Source organism: Homo sapiens, chromosome 15 (assembly GCF_000001405.40).
Source record: "Homo sapiens chromosome 15, GRCh38.p14 Primary Assembly".
In the NCBI taxonomy this organism is placed as follows: domain Eukaryota; kingdom Metazoa; phylum Chordata; class Mammalia; order Primates; family Hominidae; genus Homo; species Homo sapiens.
Genome location: NC_000015.10, coordinates 63,052,922 through 63,074,826, shown reverse-complemented (window position 1 = coordinate 63,074,826; position 21,905 = coordinate 63,052,922). Strand labels below are relative to the sequence as shown.

General features: G+C 43.2%; 1 protein-coding gene across 58 annotated transcripts in view; it reads right to left on the bottom strand.

Moving 5' to 3' along the window:
- Positions 2,912-21,905, bottom strand: part of TPM1 (tropomyosin 1) — a 29,169-nt gene continuing 10,175 nt past the window's right edge. For 4 of the 58 annotated variants that reach the window (NM_001407322.1, NM_001407329.1, NM_001407331.1 and 1 more), the window contains 8 exons: positions 17,709-17,842; positions 15,147-15,264; positions 13,888-13,958; positions 13,554-13,629; positions 12,550-12,612; positions 12,182-12,251; positions 10,685-10,763; positions 8,649-8,931 (listed from right to left, as the gene is read on the bottom strand). In NM_001407322.1, coding sequence (NP_001394251.1) covers positions 8,928-8,931; positions 10,685-10,763; positions 12,182-12,251; positions 12,550-12,612; positions 13,554-13,629; positions 13,888-13,958; positions 15,147-15,264; positions 17,709-17,842 — 615 coding nt within the window. In that variant the 3' untranslated portion in view covers positions 8,649-8,927. Of the gene's footprint in view, positions 4,958-8,648; positions 12,252-12,549; positions 12,613-13,038; positions 13,115-13,553; positions 13,630-13,887; positions 13,959-15,146; positions 15,265-17,708; positions 17,843-21,905 lie in introns of those variants that run through there. The other 54 variants (NR_176340.1, NM_001018020.2, NM_001018006.2 and 51 more) reach the window with 27 other exon arrangements.

Genomic DNA, 21,905 nt, shown 5'->3' with positions numbered 1-21,905 from the left:
TTTTTTCCTGGAGAAAAATCAGGCCCAAAGTATTGAACTCTGGAGGACACAAACCAGCATATGCAAAAATTAGATTTTGTTTCTGTTAACGACATCTCTAGGAACAATAAGGAGGGGAATTGTTCTTTTCAATGTCAGTCTCAAAAAGTTCTGAATGTATCCACAAAGCGCTTTTCTTTTTTCTCTTAAGAACTGATTGTAGGCCGGCACAGTGGCTCATGCCTGTAATCCCAGCACTTTGGGAGGCCGAGGTGGGCAGATCACTTGAGGTCAGGAGCTCGAGATCAGCCTGGGCAACATGGTGAAACCTCGTCTCTACTTTTTAGAGTACTTTCTTACTCTATTTTTATACAAAAATTAGCCAGGCGTGGTGGCATGCACCTGTAATCCCAGCTACTCGGGAGGCTGGGGCATGAGAATTGCTTGAACCCAGAAGGTGGAGGTTTCAGTGAGCTGAGATCATGCCACTGCACTCCAGCCTGGGCAACAGAGTGAGACTCTGTCTCAAAAAAAAACCAAAAAAGCAACAACAACAACAACAAAACAAACTGTAGAACTCTCATCATTATTTTTTGAAGATGCTTATGTTTTTACCTGTGTCCTTTCTCTGTGGAGTTCCACAATGTTTTACTCTGAACAGGGCAACTGTTCAGCTGTTCATTCTGAAATCTGGGACTGCTAAGTTTCAGCAATGGAATTTAGAACATGAATCTTGAATTCTCTCTCTACACCTCATGGTTCTCCAAATGGTGACCATCTCAGCTTCCAGCCTTGGCCTTTCCATATTCAAGAGTCCTAATCTCTGTACCTTGACCTCACAGAGTGGCATGTTCAGAGGTTATCACACCCAGTCATACCCCAGGCGTGTACCATGTAGAGACAGAGCCGTTCTCCTTTTTTATATTAATCTGAAAGATTAGGTAATCATTCTTCGAATTGGCATGATGCTTCATAATTAACTGATCTTGTCTGATCCCTGGAACCCAGAGGGGAAGTCAGGTGTTAAACCACTCCCACACGGTCGTGTCAGCTGCTAAATGGTTGACTCCACCTCCATCTTCCCAGCCTCCTCCTCTCCTAATTATACCTGCGGCTTCATCTGTTTTCATCTATTATCTAGAAACTGTTTTTCTTCTGCTGTAAAGCGTTTGAAACAAGGGGAAGGAGATTCCAGACAGGGCTCAGGAGTCACACAGGGCCAGAGTTTGAAGCCCAACCCCACTACTTGGGAGCTACTGAACTGAGTATCTAAGCCTCAGTGACGTGAGGCTTAAGTGAAATAACCCTTGTGAGTACAAGTTCTTTAGCACACATAAATGGGATCCGAAAGTGTTAAAAACCATCATAATTTGGGGTAAGGTTAGTCCCCCCTTAGCTTCACAAGGATGGGTACTATCTTCTGTGGTGGTCTTTGGAGCACAAATGGCAAGTTGAGGACCACAGCAGTTAACTTTTTTTTTGAGATGGAGCCTCACTCTGTCATCCAGGCTGGAGTGCAGTTGTGTGATCTTGGCTTACCGCAACCTCCACCTCCCGGGTTCAAGCGATTCTCCTGCCTCAGCCTCCTGAGTAGCTGGTATTATAAGTGCACACCACCATGCCTGGCTGATTTTTGTAACTTTAGTAAAGACGGGGTTTTGCTGTGTTGGCCACGCTGGTCTCATTCAAACTCCTGACCTCAAGCGATCCACCTGCCTTAGCCTCCCAAAGTGGTGGGATTACAGGCGTGAGCCACCATGCCTGGCCGAGCGGTTAACTTATGGAACAAGACCTAGGCGCCTGGTACTGTGCCGTGTACTTGAAGTGGTTATAGATTAGACTCCCACAGTTATAAACTATGAGCTAGGTGCTAATCTCATCTCCATGTTAAAGATGGAGCAGCTCAGATTTAGGGACTTGACAGGTTAGGCAGTCTCATAAAGGTGGAGTCTGGATCTGAAGCCAGATCTGGCTCCCCGAGTGAAAGAGGACCAGGTTTAGGAAAGGCTTCCATGACTAGAGTGATGCAGAGAGGGTTTTTTCCTAGCTGAGGATTGGCAGAGGTGAGGCGAGGGGTCCTGAAACTGTAGGAAGGTTGAGACCTGTGCATTTATTTGCCGTGAGCAAGGGGACAGCTTTTTGGAAGGAGACCTAAAACCAGGCTCCGGGACCCTGCTTGGATTCTTTGCCTTACAGCCTTTGTCTTTCTGTGGAGAAGAGATTCCTGATTAAGAGACATGGAAGTACAGTTACAGAGATATTTAATACTTTTGAATGAAAATATATCTGCATCCAAATGAGTTTTCATTTGTTTCCATTCTGTTTGCTTTTGGTGAGAACATCCTTTTTTCTCCCTGCAGCACAGCTGAAGCCAGTATTGTCTGTAATCTATTTTTGTTTGCTTAGAGTCTTCAAGAGCTAGGGAAATGACTGATGACATTTTTAGTTTCCAAGTCTGAGAAAATGGAGACGTATTGGAATTGAGAACTCATGAGTTGGGAAGCAGAAAGTCATAAAGACTCGCTAAAGCAGTAGTTTGAGTCAAATCATATCGCTGGGGGACAACAGCAGATTTGGCACATTAACCCATCATTTGTTCTTGTGTGGCTATGCCACTGCTAGAGGCTTAGCTAATATGTCAGGAAGAAAAATCCCCAAACCAGTAAAGCCACTGCCAAAGTCCTACATGTATGTGCAGGCATACACCAATAACATTGAAAACAACATTTGGAAAGGGTCTCTCCTGCTTGGTTATAACTTTAACAGACCAAAATAATGCTGCCTTTAGTGTTTCTGAGAAGGTAACACATGAAACCCAGTTTCCCCTGGACTGTGGGATATTGTTTTGAGAACCTATTTGTGGGGGAAGGCAGGTCAGTCACACGTTCAAAAGTTCACAAATTAAGAACATACAAATGACAGGACCACCAAATTTAGAAAATGTCCTACAATGTGCATTTTATTCCATATCATTATACAATGTTTACATATAGTTAAAACTCTCAAGAAAACGTCCTTTACCAGTTGTATGTGGTGTCTAAATCTTTAACATGAAGGACTGAAAAGAGTGGAAATCCACACTGATTGTTATCCTACAGATTGTCATGAGCTGCACGTGTGCCAATCAGAAAGGAATGGAAGTCTCGGAAGAGCAGCGTGGCTTACAGACCCTTGGCTTTAGTGAATTCAGGCATGCGGGATCCATAGTCTCATCTTGTAGTAAAACTCAAGACAAAATAAATTAGTGTTGGACAGAGTTCTACATTGTACAATGTTGAACAAAAGACCACAGGGGGACCTTTTGTTCAAAGTAGCACCAATCCACACCTGATTGTGTTTCCAACATTAACCTTCCTGTTGACTCTATCATTGGCACTTTGAATGGAACTTCTTCTGCTTTAGTGAGGATTCCTACGCTGACTAAGCACACTGTGTTGCTAAACTCTCTACAAAGTGTGGCAGCATCAACCCGGGAAATGGCACATTTGAACCAGGATCGCCCTGACATGGGCTTGCCTTTTTGTATGTGTTTTCCCCACCCCCTGACCTAGCTGGTATCTTGTGGATGTTTCTGTGACAGTGGTAAAAGTAAATAAATTGCATTTAAGGGGTAAGCAGGTGTTTAAAAACAAAACAAAACAAAACGAAAGAATGTGGTCGCAGCTAAGGAGGTTTTCACATGTTGTTTAACTCCAGTAAAGTCTGATCCAGCATCTGATGCATACTAAGGTTTTCTTCTTTGGCATGAGCCACTTTCTCTGTGGTGAGATTAGAAAATTAAGTCATGAATAGCTGTGCTTTGGACACAATGGTGGTTTGTACATTTAGGCAGGCAAACATCAATCACAAACACAGGATGAGATGATTAGAACTAGGCATGCTTGTAAGACATTACTCATTTCTAGACAAGAACCTAAGACGGAGGGGAGGGCATCTTTGACCCAAAGGAGCCATGGCACGGATTCTCACAGAGCAGTCAGGTGCACCTCCACCAACAATTCACTGAGGATAAAATGCACGTGGGGTTTGGTGAAGGTTCACTGACGGTGTGCCGTGGGAACAGGGAGAGGTAAAAACCAAATACAGCTGCAGCACTGTTATACAAACTGAAGAAGTTACGAACAGCAGACATTTCCAAGGTACAGGCAGTTAAAAGTCTGGGAGTTGTGCGGTAACACAAACTCACAAAAGCAAAGATGACATAAATAGGTTTTCTGAGAACTTTTAAAATGATTTATTTCTGTTGCTCATAAAAAATTGTCAACATGTTTCATGCACACTTCATTAGGACATTCTCTTAATATTTTTATAGTGTTCTATTTATTAGCATGACATTCTCCCCAGACTCCAACAGCACCATTAGACTGAGTAAAGCATACCTTTCAGACAACCAGGGGCTTCTGGCATGAGTTCCTGTTTTCAAAAGCTATTTTGCCCAAGCATAGGTACATTTAATCATATTTCAAACACTATACCAGATATTTAGAAGTTAGGAATATGAGTATCTGATAGGAATATATACACACACACACACACACACATATATATATATATATACATACTTAAAGTAGGACTCATGGCTGTCAGGAAATAGAAAACATTTTTTGGGGGGGCTCCTCATTATTTATCAGTTCAAACAAGAGGACCTGCTATTTCAAGGAGCAGTGCTGAATTGATATAAGTATTCTACCATAAAAGCTGTTTTGTGATTAAAGAGAACGTAATTATTCCAGCCATATAGAGAAACAAGCAGGCAAGGCCAGCCTTTCAGCCAATTCCTTGCATTTGCATTTCTGCAGAAAGCAACTGTTTTCAACTCTATTAGTTGAAGGTAGGACAGTCTTAGATTTTCTGCACATGGGCTCCACGCCTAGAATTCAGCCCAAGTTTTTTCACTCTTAAGTTTAATCCTCATTCAGGGCCAGCTTTAGTTCATTAGTGAGGCGGCGATTTTGCTCAAGTTGCTGGTAGAGTTGATCTGTACAGGTCAGCAAGCAGGTTAGCAGAAAAGAGGCAGAAGGAAGACAGGTTAGCAGACTTGGTGAGAGGCAGTTAATAGAGAACACAAAGAGACCTCAAGCAGGACAGCAACTGGTCACTTGCTGAGCAGTTTACTCTTACCCCATAGTCACCTGTCCTGTATCCAGGAAGGGTAGACCCTAAAAAGCTTGGTAGACTTAGGAAGTGTCAGAATTTCTCTCTTGGTGAGGAAAGGAGGGGAGGAGGAGCAACAGGATAAGAGGAGGAAGAAGAGTGAATGTTCCTCTTATACCTCACTAAACCACTTTGTGAGCTGAGCCATACATGGTTTCTGGCAATAGATTTGGGAATGCAGGCCTGGCTGGAGGCGAGCCCAGCGTGACATCCACCCCTTGCTAGGGCTCAGTGTTGAACTTAAGTGAAACATCAACCTGCCCAGTGCTGCCCACCTCTTCCAGAACCCCTTTCCTCTCCGTTCACAGGGCAGGCTTTCCCCTCAGGTAGGACCAACTGGGGGTTACTGCTTTTGCTGCACTGAAATTTTTTGAAATTTGGAATTAAGTCTCTGTCCTTCCCCCAGTCACCACAATACAGGGTACACATTCTGACTCCTGTCTAGCTTTGATAGTGTTATCCATTCAAACAGCAAAAGAACAAGCACTTGTCACCACTCAACACTGATTTAGAATTTATCTGCTTGCTTTTTTTGTTTTTTGAGACTTAGTCTCGCTCTGTCCCCCAGCGTGGAGTGCAGTGGCGTGATCTCAGCTCACTGCAAGCTCCACCTCCCGGGTTCATGCCAATCTCCTGCCTCAGCCTCCCTAGTAGCTGGGACTACAGGCGCCCGCCACCACGCCTGGCTAATTTTTTTTGTATTTTTTTTAGTAGAGATGGGGTTTCACCGTGTTAGCCAGAATGGTCTCAATCTCCTGACCTCATGATCCGCCCGCCTCAGCCTCCCGAAGTGCTGGGATTACAGGCATGAGCCACCGCGCCCAGCCCTATCTGCTTACTTCTTGAAGAGGATGGCATTCATGTGTGGTGCTAATGGATGTGTATAAAATGAACGAAACTTGCAACACCTACATGAAGACCAGCGTGATATACATTTTACACACTGACACGTGATCTGCTTACGGGGGAAAACAAGTGCAGGAGTCAGTCTGTATCTGATGATCCAGGGGACATCCAAGCTATGACAAGCAAGAGCCCGGTATGCACTGGGAACAGCTGGAGGATGCACGGTGGCTTTGAATGCTGGTGACAACTTGGACCTAAAAATACTTCATGATCTTGAAAAGCTAACAGACCTACCCCTAGGGAAAATGTGCCTGCAGCCCCCGGGTCTGTCAGGAGACTGAGCAGTTCTCACATTAACATTCTCTTATAAATGGTAGGACATGGGAGGATGCTATGCTCGTTATGTTTTCTCGCTTGGAATATCTGCTGCTCTGTCCTCTTTGCTCATCCACATTTTTTGAATATGCCAAACCCCAGTCAAACGTCCGCTACCTCCTCCAGGGAGCTCCCAGTCAGAATGGTTCTCTCTTCCTTGTTGCCTCCAAATACACATGCCTATTAGTTCGGACTCGCTTCACTCCTCTATCTCCCCATCAGATGCCCAGCTTATTGAGGACAAAGAGCCTTTCCAGCCCATCTCTTTACCACACCCCCACTGCTTCCCACGGTGTTTTGCACGTGACATATGCTTGGGGGTTCCAAGACATATATCCCATTACTACATTCACACTATGGACATAGGAAGTGTCGCCATGGGTGGGGAGCTTGTCTCAGTTTGCTGAGCCCAAATGTTTGGCCAGGCTAGAATGGAAGAACTTTGGAGAAAATCTGGAGAATCCAGAGGGTCAGTATGAATTCAGCAGGAAGGACAGTGGTCCCTCCGACAGCCTCCTCTGGATCTGCTCTGCTTCAGCTGCTGTGGAGCTGGTGTGCATGGGTGGCCCAAAGGCAGGGACAAGACATGCTCATATCCTTGGAAGTGTTTTCCCTTCCGGTTCTATGGAGACTCCCAGCTGTCTGAAACTTCAAGTGCCCAAACTCAGTGATGCTTTTGGTTTGGCCCACCAGAGCAGCTGTAGCTATGGCCTGGCCCTTTGAACCAGAAGCCTGGTTCAAATCAACAGTTGAACAAGAAATCAACAATTTCTTGATAAACTTGAGTTTATCAAGTTTTCCTCTTGCACATGCATACCTTGGGCTACTCCTGACCTGCCCTCCCAGTCCATTAGTGCCCCACTTCCCCTTGTAGAGTGTACTTATAGAAAGTGCGAAAGTCTCTGGAAGGATTTCCAAAACACAGATGTGCCTCCAGAATTACATGAACATCTGCTCAGCAGAACTTTCAGACTTGGCATTTTGTCTACATCAGGAAGCAGGATTTACTCAGAGAAGGGTACACTTCTCTTATTCTGAATTTAAAAAAGAATGAGGAAGGAATCATAGTCAGAAGCAGGCCCAAGGAGCCTTAAGAAAAGAAAAGCATGAAATCATGGAAGTCTTTATAAACTCAAGGGAGAGACATTGTCCAGATTCTAAAATTCCACCATACTATGACTAAAATACTTTAATTCACAGCTTTCTTTAAAAAAAAGTATTTCCTCTATGCTTTGAAGTCTCTGTAGAGTGAGAATGACACTATCTTCTGAGTTTGTCCAAATTTATTTGAGTATGGTGGTATATCAGCCCTCTCGGGCTAAAAAAACTATATACAAAACATGCAGATCATCCATGTTAAAAAAAAAACAGGAGAAATATATAGCTAGATTGTTGAGGAAGGAGAAATGTTGGGAATTATAACACTAAAGTCCATATTAGTTAAAGTTCTATTTTTTGCAATGTATTTTTTTAAAAAAATCACTTAATTGCTGTTTGTGAAATAAAACAGAAGCCCAAATGAAATACAATTGTCTTCTGAACAATTTCCACCAACTATCTTTTTGGGAAAAAAAAAAAGAAACTTTCATTGCTATATTTTAAAAATGTCCACAAATGAAAACACAGCCATTGAACACAAAGATTATGTACAATCCCTCCCAAAGAGTATGTGCTAAAAAGCACAAAACAAATCACGACTAAACAGAGTAATCATATTTAGAAAACCTAAGATGTCATTTTCATGATCAAAATAAAGGTGGCTGAGTCATGAATATACTTCAAAAAAGCTTGAACTTTTCTTTGTGCTATAAAAGGATGATCGACAATAACCAAAACTTACATTGTTTGAATCCAAGTTCTTTTTCACCCTTCTCAATGTATAACTTCCTAGTAATATGGGACAGCTACAGAACCATTCATCATGAGCCTTTCATTAGTTAGCCAGGTCCTCCCAAGTAAGGCCACCGAAATAATCAACACAGAGGGGTCACTACATCCCGAGCTAAACCTCCAGCAAAGGAAGACACTGATCAAGCCAGACCTTTCAACTCTCAACAAGCAATGTCCCCTGTGTGACCCAGACTGCAAAGCAGAGCCATCACAATTCCCCCAAAACCCCCCCAGATGTCCAGACCTCATTCTAACCTTTGAAAATCAGAACTCTGAGAGGGAATGCAGGCCTGGGTATTTTTTTGAAGTTCAACAAGGAACTACTGCTTTAGAAACTCCTGATATAATTCTGTATAGTGTTCAGTATTTAAAAAGAAAAAGCAGCAGCCAAACACTAACCCTCATATGTGTGAAGCAGCTTTGTAGTTTTATTCAATGTTGAAACTAAAATGTCAATAAATAAGAAGTAAAAAGAATAGCAAACAGAAATAGCTTACACAGTGTTTATTTGACACTGAAACGAAGAGCTTCTGTACAATAGAAAGCACAGTGTGTGCCTGGCTCTAAGGCAGGATGCTAAGAGAGAGAACCAGGGTCAGCTGGAGAATAGACAAATGCAGAGCTCAGAGAGGTGGGACATCCAGCTCGACGAGGGAGTCTTGGGAGAAGTGAAGCAAAGAAACTTATCTGCGTGAAGATAAAAAGGTGGGAGGAAAAAAAAAGTGGCACAATGAGAAAAAAAAAAAAAAGAAAGGAAACCAAACCAATAGATGAGAGCACTTGAAACACAGACAAGAAGCAGTCATGCAAACCCCACTGCCAGCCACACCCTTGGAAGGACATCCATCTTCCCACCTGAGGCCGTCACAGGCCGCCTTTCGGCAAGGGTCCATTTTAAGAAGACCCATGAACAGAATTTAAAAACAAAAAAAATTTTAAGCTACACTCGTCTTTCAGAATATTTAATCATACTTGATGCAAAAAGTTTTTCCCAAAGAATCACCACATTTTAGCACTGAAAAAGACCTTAGAGACAGATGATCTGCTCCACCCCCTCATTTACAAATGAGGGATGAGAAGACACATTTTCTCTGGTTTCCATGGCAACAGTCATGTCTCTAGAGGCTTTTTTGTTGACTGTGGGGATTCTATAACCTCTAAGGCAGCAGGCACATGCCACTCTCTTCAAGTTACCATTTTTTCTGCATGGGTAAATGAATGACAGGTGGGCTTGGAAAATGACATTTCCAGCTTCAATGGAATTCAGGGTGATATTAGAATGAAGAACTCTGAAACATTCCAGGTTAGAATTTAAAGTAGTAGAAAAAGTTTAATGTTTAAGTTTGGTTAGTAATATGTAAATTAGTTGTATCTGTTCAAGGTTCTTCTCATGATAACAAGACTACCTACTCCAACTCTTACTGCCTAACAGTAAAATCTGGGCCATTAACTCCCAAGCTCACATTGTACAATCTGTGTTTAATTTCCCATTTATTTGACACAGGTTGTGGTAAATATTTATCGTGGGTATTTTAATTCCTTTCATAAAAACACAAAATTAAAGGCTTGGTTACTCAGCAGAGGGTTCTTTTTACTCTACCATTCTTTTTTTTCTTGAGACAGAGTCTCGCTCTGTCGTCCAGGCTGGAGTGCGGTGGTGCGATCTCGGCTGACTGCAAGCTCCACCTCCCGGGTTCATGCCATTCTCCTGCCTCAGCCTCCTGAGTAGCTGGGACTACAGGCATCCACCACCACGCCCGGCTAATTTTTTTTGTATTTTTAGTAGAGACAGGGTTTCACCGTGTTAGCCAGGATGGTCTCAATCTCCTGACCTCGTGATCCGCCCGCCTCGGCCTCCCAAAGTGCTGGGATTACAGGCGTGAGCCACTGTGCCCGGCCTACTCTAGAATTCTTAAAAGTAAAAGAGATGATCTTTTGTAGTACCACTGTTAAAGCTGTATTGGATCATGCCAATTTCCTTATCCTCAGATTCTCAATAACCTGACACTTTAAGGGTTCCTTCAAATTATATTTAACGAAAATGATTATGTTGTACTTAGTTGAATTTCAGGAAACAAATTTTGATATTTTTTGAGAAGTTCCTGTACAACAAACGGCATGGCCTTCTAGTTTTACTTGAGTTTAGCTTAATTTCCCAAAAGGACAGTGCTCAAGGTCACTCATTCTAGTTCACTGCTCTAGTTCAGCGTTTACAAAATAAACGGATTCTGAAAAGAAAATGGTTTGTATAGACAGACTTAATCTAATTGGCCTTTATATTAGCAGAAAGTGAAAAAACAATGACTATTCTAGGTTATGACAAAAAGGGTGAACACAAGAGTGCAAAGATGGAGATTAGGGAGCAAGGAAGGCATGGTGGTGAGTTTATTACATTAGCATGAGGGCAGGGTGTAAGCAGGCAGAGTGGATGAACGTTTACATGGAAGTCATATCGTTGAGAGCGTGGTCCAGCTCCTCGCTGATGGCTTTGTACTTCAGTTTCTGAGCGTACAGCTCGTCTATGACCAGGAAGTGGAAGGCAGAGGTGCAAGAACATGGAGAGTGATCAAGAAATGGAGGGTGAGTGAGGGTGGTGCGCGCACCATCCCAACACAGCAGCAAGAAAAGGGCAATGCATGAAGGGGTTGGTGCCGCAGCAGGTGGCCAATGCAGGAGGCGTGCGTTTTGTTTTAAGTAAATTGAAACAAAAACAAAGAGAACAAAACCCATTAGAAAATAAAATGAAAAAGACTCAATATGAAAATCCTAACAAATATGGTAGGTATATCAGTAAACCATGTTAAATTGTAAACGAAACCACAGAAGGCTGTCTCCTGGTGAGGGGAGGCAGGGGCTAATGGAACATCTTTCTTTTGCAGAGCTATATTTTAATTACACTGGAGTAGTCAGGCATCTGCAGCTATAAACAATGGGAAAAAAATGCAAGGGCAGTGTTTTGGAAGAACAATTTGTGACTACAGCCTGTAGTCCTTATCTGGTTCCACCTTCAAACCACTGACTTCCTGACCACACTAGACCACTGGGATAGCGATTTCTTAGTGCCATTTAAGCTACTCCTGTGGTCTTCCCACTCAAGCTGCCTATTACTGGTCCAGGAGGCTTGAAAAGCAATGGGCGCCACACTTTATATGGCAAGTCTGCAACTTAGTTTTTGTAATGCTGCAGGTTTCATACTTTGCTGCACTTTGGCAGATCATTTTGCAACCATTTGTCATTCTCTCTTCTCCACTATTTTGGTTATTATCTGCACCAAACACTAGTTCCTTCTCTAATCCCTTCTGTGATGTAGATATTTGTCTTTTTTCTTTCTTGTTCACAGCTAATCCTTCACAAGCTTCAAAGCTCAACATTTAGGATATCTGTGAGATAGAGTGGTTATTACTAAAATAAAACCTAAGTGCCTTAGGGAAGAAATGCTTAAGTATAATTTTTCCCTCCTCCTTCAGGATATAAAGTATTTTGTTAAGATAATATATGACTTAAAATAACCCCTAAATCCTTACTTTGAATTCATACTTGGAAGAAGATGGGTTCTTCTAAAAACAAGACCACAATCACCACATCATTCCCAATTTAATTAGGAAGTAACACTAAAGATATAAAATATACTAGAGTCATTCTCACCAATAAGCACCTCACTCACAGTGAAAAATAAACCTGCCACACTTGTAATGAGCATGAAGTCAAGCTGGATGGCATTTGCCACTATGGCTGGTGGCTAACTAGTCACCTCGTGAGCAGAAGACTTAGGTTCATGAGTTCAAGAGCCACAGAGAAAAACCCCAGAGGACACACAGGAAGAATGTGCAAGTGCAAAGGAGCGTATCAATGTGGATGCCCTTGAATTGGAAAATTGTTTTGCCAGGTTGGTATTCAACCATAAGGATTAAACTAAAAACACTACTTAAGATCTTACCTTCTAAGTCATCAATGCTTTTCTCCAATTTAGTTACTGACCTCTCCGCAAACTCAGCCCGAGTCTCAGCCTGTAATGATTTATTTGAGTTAAAGTTGGGAAGTTTTATGTTTCCTGTAGCTACAAACATAGGGAAAACTAGAGGATGAAAATGAAGCACATCACCTATAAAATGGATCAGAAACTACTTGTCAGTTTCAGTCACCTCTGTGAGAAATGGCAGTTAGCACAGTACATAAACTCCAAGGCGACCTTTGAATATTCCTGACTTGGATCATTGGAACTTTAAAATGAAAAGGCCCTGACCGGTTCCATGAAAACAAACTCATTTAAAATCCAGTTGGCTTCATCCACAACTCTCATATTACCTCCTTCAGCTTGTCGGAAAGGACCTTGATCTCTTCCTCATATCTGTCTTCCTTCTGCGAGTACTGTAATTAGAAAGAGCATTCCAGATGTCAGGCTGCAGCTCAATCTACTCATGGCTTCTCATGCAAAGAACTCGCCAGCTCAGCCAACAGATGTTAAGGATCTCTTAGGAGGTAATGGAACCTCTGATATCAAATGGCACACTGCAATACATTCTCTGCTTTCTTGCCTATTGTTTTACATGGGATAACAACAAGATAACTTATCCACTTGGCACTTGGTTTAAATTAAATTGATGCCTCATATCCCTAACATAAAATAAATTCTCTAGTTAAAAAAAAGAATTTGTTATCTAGTAACTCTCCAAAAATCACCTCACAATATTGCCATTTTACTAAAATGTCTACTGTAAGTGTTGCTTTCTGGCAGGGCCTCTTTTGAGCAGCTCTTAAAAGATGCCTTTCCCCCACACCATCCTCCTGGCCTACCTTCTCAGCCTGAGCCTCCAGTGACTTCAAGTTGTTCGTCACAGTTTTCAATTCTTCTTCAAGCTCGGCACATTTGCTAATGTTTTCGATCAGAGGCAGAAAGGGTGGGAGACAAGCCAAAGGAAGGAGGAGAGAAAAAGGAGAGGGATGGGAAAAAATGAAAACTGAGTCCTAGAGACGAAGGGCTGCCTTAAAGTAGCCAAATCATCAGGTATTAAAATGTTTAGGTTTTCCAGGAACACTGCCCCCCAACCTCGCAACAGCAGAAGGCAGGGTGACCAAATCCAACAACTTTGAAGTGCGATAATTTGGCTCCTTTTTTGGCTGCCCAAAGAGCATTTATGAAGGGAAAACAAAGGAGCATAAAGGACCAAGGGAAAGCACTTAAGGCAAGATATAAATAGCAGAGGGTGAAGTGAAGGTGCAGTCGTTATACCAAACGAACCAGGAGGCATTGGAAGCTGAAAGATGTCTGGGTTGCAGTTAAACCTAAAAACCACACGAGCCATCAGTACCTTATCCTCTGCAGCCATTAATGCTTTCAAGGTCTGATCCATTATTCTTAATTGTTCTTCCAGCTGTCGGACTTGGCTGTTAGTGGACACAGGAAATGCACAAGGCCATTCACAAAATCAGTGTGCAGGTAAGGCATGCAGTGATACACGCATTCATACATAAGACACCCCACACGAGTCCTCCATGTTCCATACTCGTGGCTCATCCACATCAAATGAGCACAAAAGGAGCCCGGAGCTGAAACAGGTAATGTGCAGCTGCCAGAAGGTCATGCTGTTTAGTCACTGCTCTGCAGCACCCCATTCGTGGCCTCCTGGCGCCGGGCCCGCTTACCCTTCTGAGAGCTCAGCCCGCTCCTCTGCACGTTCCAGGTCGCTCTCAATGATGACCAGCTTACGGGCCACCTGCAGCAGGAAGACACAACACACACACCATGGGTCTTGCAAGCTTTGTGTAACAGAAGGGCATGGGGGTAGAGATCAGATCCCATCAGGCCCTAAGGGTTTTGTCTACAAACAATATGATCCTCTTTCTGGTAGACCAGAGAGAAGCAACTCTCTATTAGGAGTGCCAGCAGAGAGGAGATCAGAGGCTTCTGCTTTGACTCAGAATGGTTAGCTGTGATTGGGCAGTCTCAATTGGAAGTCTGACCTAGGTGAACCGGCAGCCAGACCAAAATGTGGAAGGAGGGATAAAATACACATTCACAATCTCAAAAACAGCAGTAGGATGAGACATGTACTAAAAAGGTGGGGGCTGCCAGGAAAACAAAGTAAACCTAAGAACTCCATCAATTTGATGGCTGATCTGTGCATCTACCTCCTTACTGCAGTGGAAGAATACAAGAGACACTAACGTGAGACAAGTTGGTGAGATAACTGACAAAATCAAATTTGTATTTAGTGGAAGAACCAGAGAGAGGAAGGGAGCCTCTGAAGCAGATCAAAACTTGTGAGCATAGTGTAATCTGAAGGTAATAATGGTAATAAAAAGGAGGGGCAATGCTGTTTCAGGATAGCCACGATGTGATCCAATAAGGAAAAAACAGAAACCTTAATAATCAAGTTGCCTCTTATCACAGGAGGCTGTTTTCATGGGGACACGACCAGGAGCAAATTCTGCTGAAAACCTGCGTTGATAATAGTTTTCTACCACCCTTGAGGAGAGAGGCCTCTGTGAATCCACTGAGAAACTGTCTGTGGTCTCTAAGCTGCCCAATCTGGATGTGCCAGGTCACTCTGGGAAGAAATGACTTGCACCATGACAGCATGAGAGCCTCCTTTCACAAGACACAGGGCCCAACTCTCCCTTCCGGCCAAAGATCTTTTGTCCGGGTCTTTGTGGCTGGGGGAGAGGAGTTTTGGTCCTTCTTCGCAGTGCTACTGATTGGCTTCCTGATAAAGCCTGGGATCCCCTAGCAGGATTAAAATTAGAACCGTTTTCTGGACACAAAGGAACTCTGCTTCTCAAAACCACCCATTTCTGCCAACAAAGCAGATGGCCTCACTCGGGAATCAAGACTGTACATTGCTCCCTGGCTTCCTGAAGGCCACTGCTGGGTGTCCACAAGGCTTTGGGCCCCAGGATCTGACCTCTTCATATTTGCGGTCGGCATCTTCAGCAATGTGCTTGGCCTCTTTCAGTTGGATCTCCTGAATTTCCATTTTTTCTTCATCTTTTTGGGCTCGACTCTCAATGACTTTCATGCCTCTGAAAAGAAAGACAAGCAAGAAAACCCAAGATTTAGAGCTGAACTTCCCAAATGCACACTGCACTGCTGTGGCTTGTGAGGCTTAGTGTAAGTGGTAGACCAAAATAGAGCACAGAGCTACTTTTATTTTCCAAACCAGGAAACAACAATTTCCAGAGCTAAAGGTGGAAAAAAGAGACACATTTCTCTCTGTTCACTGTGAATGAACTCTCTCACTTTGAGTACTGATGAAACTATCAGGCATCTAACATTAATGATGACGAAAGGTACCACGTCAGGAATCTGTCTGAATCTTGGCAGTATGAAACCGGAAAAGCCAATATGCTTTACTATTAAAAAGATAATGAGATTTCTTGCCTTTCCTGTGGGAAGCCTCAGCTTGCACATGAACCAAAGCTAGAACAAAATCAAACTTATCTTTATATACCTCTTTCTACAAAGAATCTTCTTACCCTGCCACCCATAAACAAAAATATTAGACTTAATGTTAGATTTAATAAACTATTAAGTCCACAAAGAATGCTGATATTTGACCATTTCAGACAAGTAATAATGGCAATTTCTTATGGTTCAACTGAATGCATCAAATTAAGTTTTACCTATAATGGAACCCTTTCATGACAGCAATGCTGGGAGACAGGCCTGACACTGTCCTCTACACTGAGTGTATTAGGGTCCTATGGCATGGTGTATATTAGGGTCCTATAGCGTGGTGTAATGTTTCAGAAAAATACTAAATGACCTATGATATTTTACAGATATATGGAATAACAAGTCATGTAAAATGGAATTCATTTATCAAAATTTAAGTAGGCAGTATAAGTGAACCACTATTTTTTTATTTTTATTTTTTGAGACAGAGTCTCGCTCTGTCACCCAGGTTGGAGTGCGGTGGTGTGATCTTGGCTCACTGCAACCTCCACCTACTGGGTTCAAGCGATTCTTCTGCCTCAGCCTCCCGAGTAGCTGGGATTACAGGTGTGCACCACCACGCCTGGCTAAGTTTTCTATTTTTTAGTAGATTTAGGGGTTATGCCACGTTAGCCAGGCTGGTCTCGAATCCCTGGCCTCAAGTGATCTGCCCGCCTCGGCCCCCTAAAGTGCTGGGATTACAGGTGTGAGCCACCACATCTGGCCCACTATCTTTTGATGAAGCATTGGAATACAGTTGAGGAGATCTGGGTCGGAGTCTTGGCTTAGCCACAAATATGCTGTGAGCCTTGGTGCAAGTCACATCAGCCTCTGAGCCCTACTTTTCTCATTTGTAAAACTAAGGGACTAAATGATCCCCAAGTCCCCTTTACTCCGAAGTCTAACATTACCAGACTGCCTTTAAGGTACACTAACAAGTATATTTCAGAAAGAAGTCAGCCACAAAACTGCTCTTATGCGTACACTGTAAGATGCTTAGTCATCTTAAAGAAGTCCAAAATGCTTGGTTAGCGAAGAAACACTAAGCAGCGGTGAATAATGGCCTAAAAAGTTTAGCTAAAAATCTTCTTTAATCCTAAAGTCTGAAATCACTCTTTATACCTGGTACCTAGTGGTAGGGTCACTTCAAAGAGTAAGAAATGGACAAGATGACTGACTGCATTCACTTGCCCAGGTCACAGCACAGACAGATACACATTCAGTGCTCTGAGCCCCTTCATGCTATGCCATCCCTCAAGCGGCAGAACGCTCTCTCACCTCATGGAGTCTCTCTTGAAGTACTTCTATGCAATATGGCAAATCCTTACTTCCAACAGTTGAGCTTAAGGGAAAATGCCTTTTAGACCACACAAGGCTGTGCTGGTCTATACGAACCATGCTTTCCTTTACTACCACAAAGCTGAATCTGAGTAATAATTCAGCTACAGCCAGATTACAGTGGAGGTGGGCTCAGAACACACGAGCATCTGACTATTTGTGTGCATGTGTGTTGTGTATATTACTAAGACCAAGTCCAAAATATTTTACTTTTGCAGACCATGTTTCTGCTTTGTGTTTTTTCTTCCACCTATTTGTTAAGCTATTTTGACAACTGATAGTCCACAGTTCCTTTATTTACACCTAAGCCTCCTTGTATATTATAAAATAAAGTTACACTTTAAAAAATGCACAATTGCTCTGTGGTCAGTAGGAGTGAAAGGGCCAACTTGTATCCCTGACATTTCTCCTTTACATGTCTGTCTCCCTCATTAGATGGTGAGTTCTGTAAGGGCAGGAACAAGATCATCTTCTTCTTTGTAACCTTAGGGCTTAGGACAGTGCTTTGGACATAGTAGGTGTTTCACTAATGCTAAATGAACAAAACCAACCGAGTTATACCTGGGATCAATAGAGGAAATGATCCCACCACCAGGGGACTGAAAAATTCTTAAACCTCAAAGATCACAGGAGCCCTCCGGTTTATTCCACCAGGAAAGGCAGCTGCAAAAGATGGCTGATGAGGCATTCTCACCTCTCACTCTCATCTGCTGCCTTCTCAGCTTCCTCCAGCTTCTGCAAAGCTGTTGCCAGACGCTCCTGGGCACGATCCAACTCTTCCTCAACCAGCTGGATGCGTCTGTTCAGAGAAGCTACGTCGGCTTCAGCCTAGGTAGAGAGTGAAAAGCATTTCAGAGTTGGGGAGAAAGTGAGGGTGGTAGCTTCAGGAAATGGCTGGGACTGCAATGCTGATTTCAGATAGGAAGACTGTCTTGTGGTGAGCTACCTTTAAGTGCATTACAAGCCCTCATCAACTCTGGAGTTCTCGGACACATTTACACATTGATTTATACAGTGAACATCCATATTTGTGTATACACAAATCTATACACACAATTCTCATCAGACAGACAGATCATTAGCAAACGCTCTTTCACATGGTTCCTTTCTTCCGTAGATTTTTTTGTTTTGTTTTGTTTTGTTTTTGAGACAGGGTCTCGCTCTATCACCCAGGCTGGGGTGCAGTGGCACGATCTCAGCTCACTGCAAACTCCGCCTCCTGGATTCACGCCATTCTCCTGCCTCAGCCTCCCGAGTAGTTGGGACTACAGGCGCCCGCCACAACGCCCGGCTAATTTTTTTGTATTTTTAGTAGAGACGGGGTTTCACCGTGTTAGCCAGGATGGTCTCAATCTCCTGACCTCCTTATCCACCTGCCTTGGCCTCTCAAAGTGCTGGGATTACAGGCGTGAGCCACTGCGCCCGGCCCACTTCCGTAGAGTTCAACACCCTGGCTTTACTTGCCTGTTAAACAAGAGCGTCATCACGGCCACCTCACTCACTGGGGGCCTGAAGTGTGAACTGAGACAAGACTTACCCAGGCTCAGCCATGTAAGACAATAGCAGTACAGCCAGAAATCGGACTCAAGAGTTTCACTCAACTCTTTCCTTCAAGCCACTTTATCATAGGATCCTTACAAAGGAACTTAAATAGTTTAAAATTCAGTGGTTCTAAAATACACACCACATGAAGGCCCAACACAATCCAGTAACCCCTTTTAGAATAACTGGCCTCATTGGAACAGAGCCAAGACAAATTTCCCAAGTGTTTTTGATGTAAGCCTATGATTTTTCTTTGAAGTCAAGGTTAATACAAGAAAAGTATCAAACTCCTAAAAAGAAAAATAATACAAGTACTGTTTTTACTTGGTATCTGTCACTGAAATAAAATGTTGGTTTCTTTGAGAGGCAATGATTTTTTTCCTGTCATAAGAAATTGTTGCTATGAGCCTCAGAACACTTATAAGACTATGATGGTCCATTATACACACTTGCACTGGTGGCTGTTTAAATATTGTGCATGGAAGTGGGAGATGGAATTTACTAATCAGGTAAAATATCCTCATCCACTTTGAATGTATGTTCACTAAGGGGTGGTGGGGTTTTCAGAACACTTAGGAGTTTTCTAGAAATTACAATACACACTTAGGGACCCATGGTAATAGGATAACAAATTTCTCTACACACAGCCCTGTCTTTGTCATTGAACTGTAAGCTGCTCACATCCAGAGAACTCACAGTTCTCTGCACAGAGTATGGGCTCAGTAAGATGAGTAAAACCAACCTAATTTTAATAAAAGCAACGTTCTCAGCTTATGGATCCACAATACAGAGTTGGAAATGCAAATGTAGTTAGAAACTGTGGTCATAGTCTTTAATCAAAGGAATCTGAGAACCTTCAGCTCTTTGCTCACCTAGATTTGTAAGATTTTAAATGCCAAGTTTTATCTGGGAAGAGAGGTGAGTAGGGCATCTCCAACCACGGTGAAGGACTCTATAAAAACATGTAAATACACTTTTATCTTGACAAAAATGTAGTAATTGGTTGATGGAGGCAGGGAGCAGGGCAAATGTGAAATAAATCAGAGGAAGAGCATTTACAACTGTACTGCCTACAAAGTAAATCATTATCAGTGCACAGCTGGTAAATGGACCCAGCTAGGAATTACTGGCAGATGACTGTTGTTTCTGGTGTGTGTGTGTATTGAAGGGTGAGGGTAATAGGATAACAAATCTCTCAATTATAGGGAAGTGTCTTTTAAAAACCATTAGGCTTTTTTTTTTTATTACTATTACTGGAAGGATGTATATATTAAGGATATACTTTTGGGTCAGGTAAGATTTCTTCACTTTTCTATATTTTCATTTTCCAGTAAAATTCTATTCCTTTTGAGGGTGGGGGGGAGACTCAAAGCGGAAGCAAAAACAAAGGGCAAACAAAACAAAACAAAATTTAAAGCCACACAAAAAAACCAAGCACACAAACCAAAAGCCCTACAACAACAAAAAGCCTCCATAGAGTGTCTAGGTTATGTACTCAAAAGCACTGTACACTTTCTTTTCTTTCCCCCTTTCTTATCATTTTCAATATGATGGCAAATATCCTTGTTACAGAGGCTATGGCCTATTAGAGAAATGCCAGCAAGATTTTCAAAACTTTTTTGTAGCTACCAAGTTCCAAGTTCTCTGCTCTGCTTTAGATCTGGGCCTGAACCTCAAGGACTTTGTACTCACAGAAAGACGACTGTTTATGCTTTGGGGAAAGAACCCTCTGGGTGACAGGTCTCTATCCCCAGCTCCCCACACAGCCGAGTCACCAGAAAGGAAGGAAACAGCACCTCATGTTCATTCCAGCCTTGCACATGAGATCTTCCTACCCAAAGGGCCCCTACCAATCCATCCGTGTCTTCCCTCCGATCACCCCCACCCCCATTCTTTCCCTTAGCTCTTGGCACTGTGTTTACAGAATGCTGTTGTCTAAATGCCACTCTTGTTTCCCCAGGGGCATTCTGTAGAACCTCAGACTCCTGGACATCAGAGAATATGTCCTACAGGAATACCAGCCAGCAGGGCTTCATACAGGGTGCCCCAGCAACGACTGGGCATGGAGACCAGTTTCTAGGTGCCAGTTTGTGATATAGTGGGAGGAATGGTAGGGCACACACAGCAGACCTGAGAGTGGCTGCCCCTTCCTGAGGAGGCCCTGTAAATCCAAAAAATAGGGTCTCAATTTTTTAGCTAGAAGGATCCCTAGGCATTGTCCAGATCAGCAATTCCCACAAGTGGCTGAGTGTCAGAATCAACTCAGAGATGAGCATTAAAAAAAAAACTTTCAGCTGGGCGCTGTGGCTCACGCCTGTAATCCCAGCACTTTGGGAGGCCGAGGCGGGCAATCATGAGGTCAGGAGTTCGAGACCAGCCTGACCAACATGGTGAAACCCCGTCTCTACAAAAAACACAAAAATTAGCCAGGCATGGTGGCACATGCCTGTAATCCCAGCTACTCAGGAGGCTGAGGCAGGAGAATTGCTTGAACCCGGGAGGCAGAGACTGCAGTGAGCCGAGATCATGCCACTGCACTCCAGCCTGGGCGACAGAGCAAGACTCTTGTCTCAAAAACAAAAAAAAAAAAAAAAAAATCAAACTTCCAGGCCGTGTCCCTAGAGATTCTGATTCAGGAGGTCAAAGGGGGAGGGCAGGAATCTGTACTATAAATAAACAATCCCCTTTGCCACCACCCAAAGAAGCTGGCTATTCTTCTAGCTCTTGACTAGAAACAGGCGGCAGGAGGGAACTCTGACCCTGGGCACAGAAGTATGTGGAGGCCATACAGCCATCAGTGTGAGACAGGATTAAGATCCAAGTCACTAGGCTCCCAGCATGCCGGCTCTCCACTATGTCACTTCTCCTGGCTTCCCGGAACATCACGGAAACCTTGGAACTGGCAGTTCTCACTCCTGTGTCTTTATCTCTCCTGAGATCAGATTGAGATGTTCTCCGGCCCCCACCCCAACTCCCCACAAAAGGCCTCAGGCACAGATCCTAACCAGGACTGGGAGAACAGTTGCTGCAATGCAAATCATCTGCTAAAGTGATTATCACAATCTTTTTGAAATGAGGCAGGATATAAAATTGAAAACTTCATAAAACAATGCTAATGGGTAATAGGAAGCTCACATAAGGACACGGAACATTTACTCCCTAGCCCAGAAGTCAATGCCTACTGCCCCAGAGGTTTCAGAGCAGGACAGGCAGAGGGGCTTTGAGGTTAAAGCCAGGACCTAGGAGTAGTATCTGAGGTACACCTATCTTTATGGGAAAACCCTGAACCCATGACAGGCTCTGCAGGCCCTATTATACTGGCCTAGTAGAATTTTTGTTTGGCTCGTTA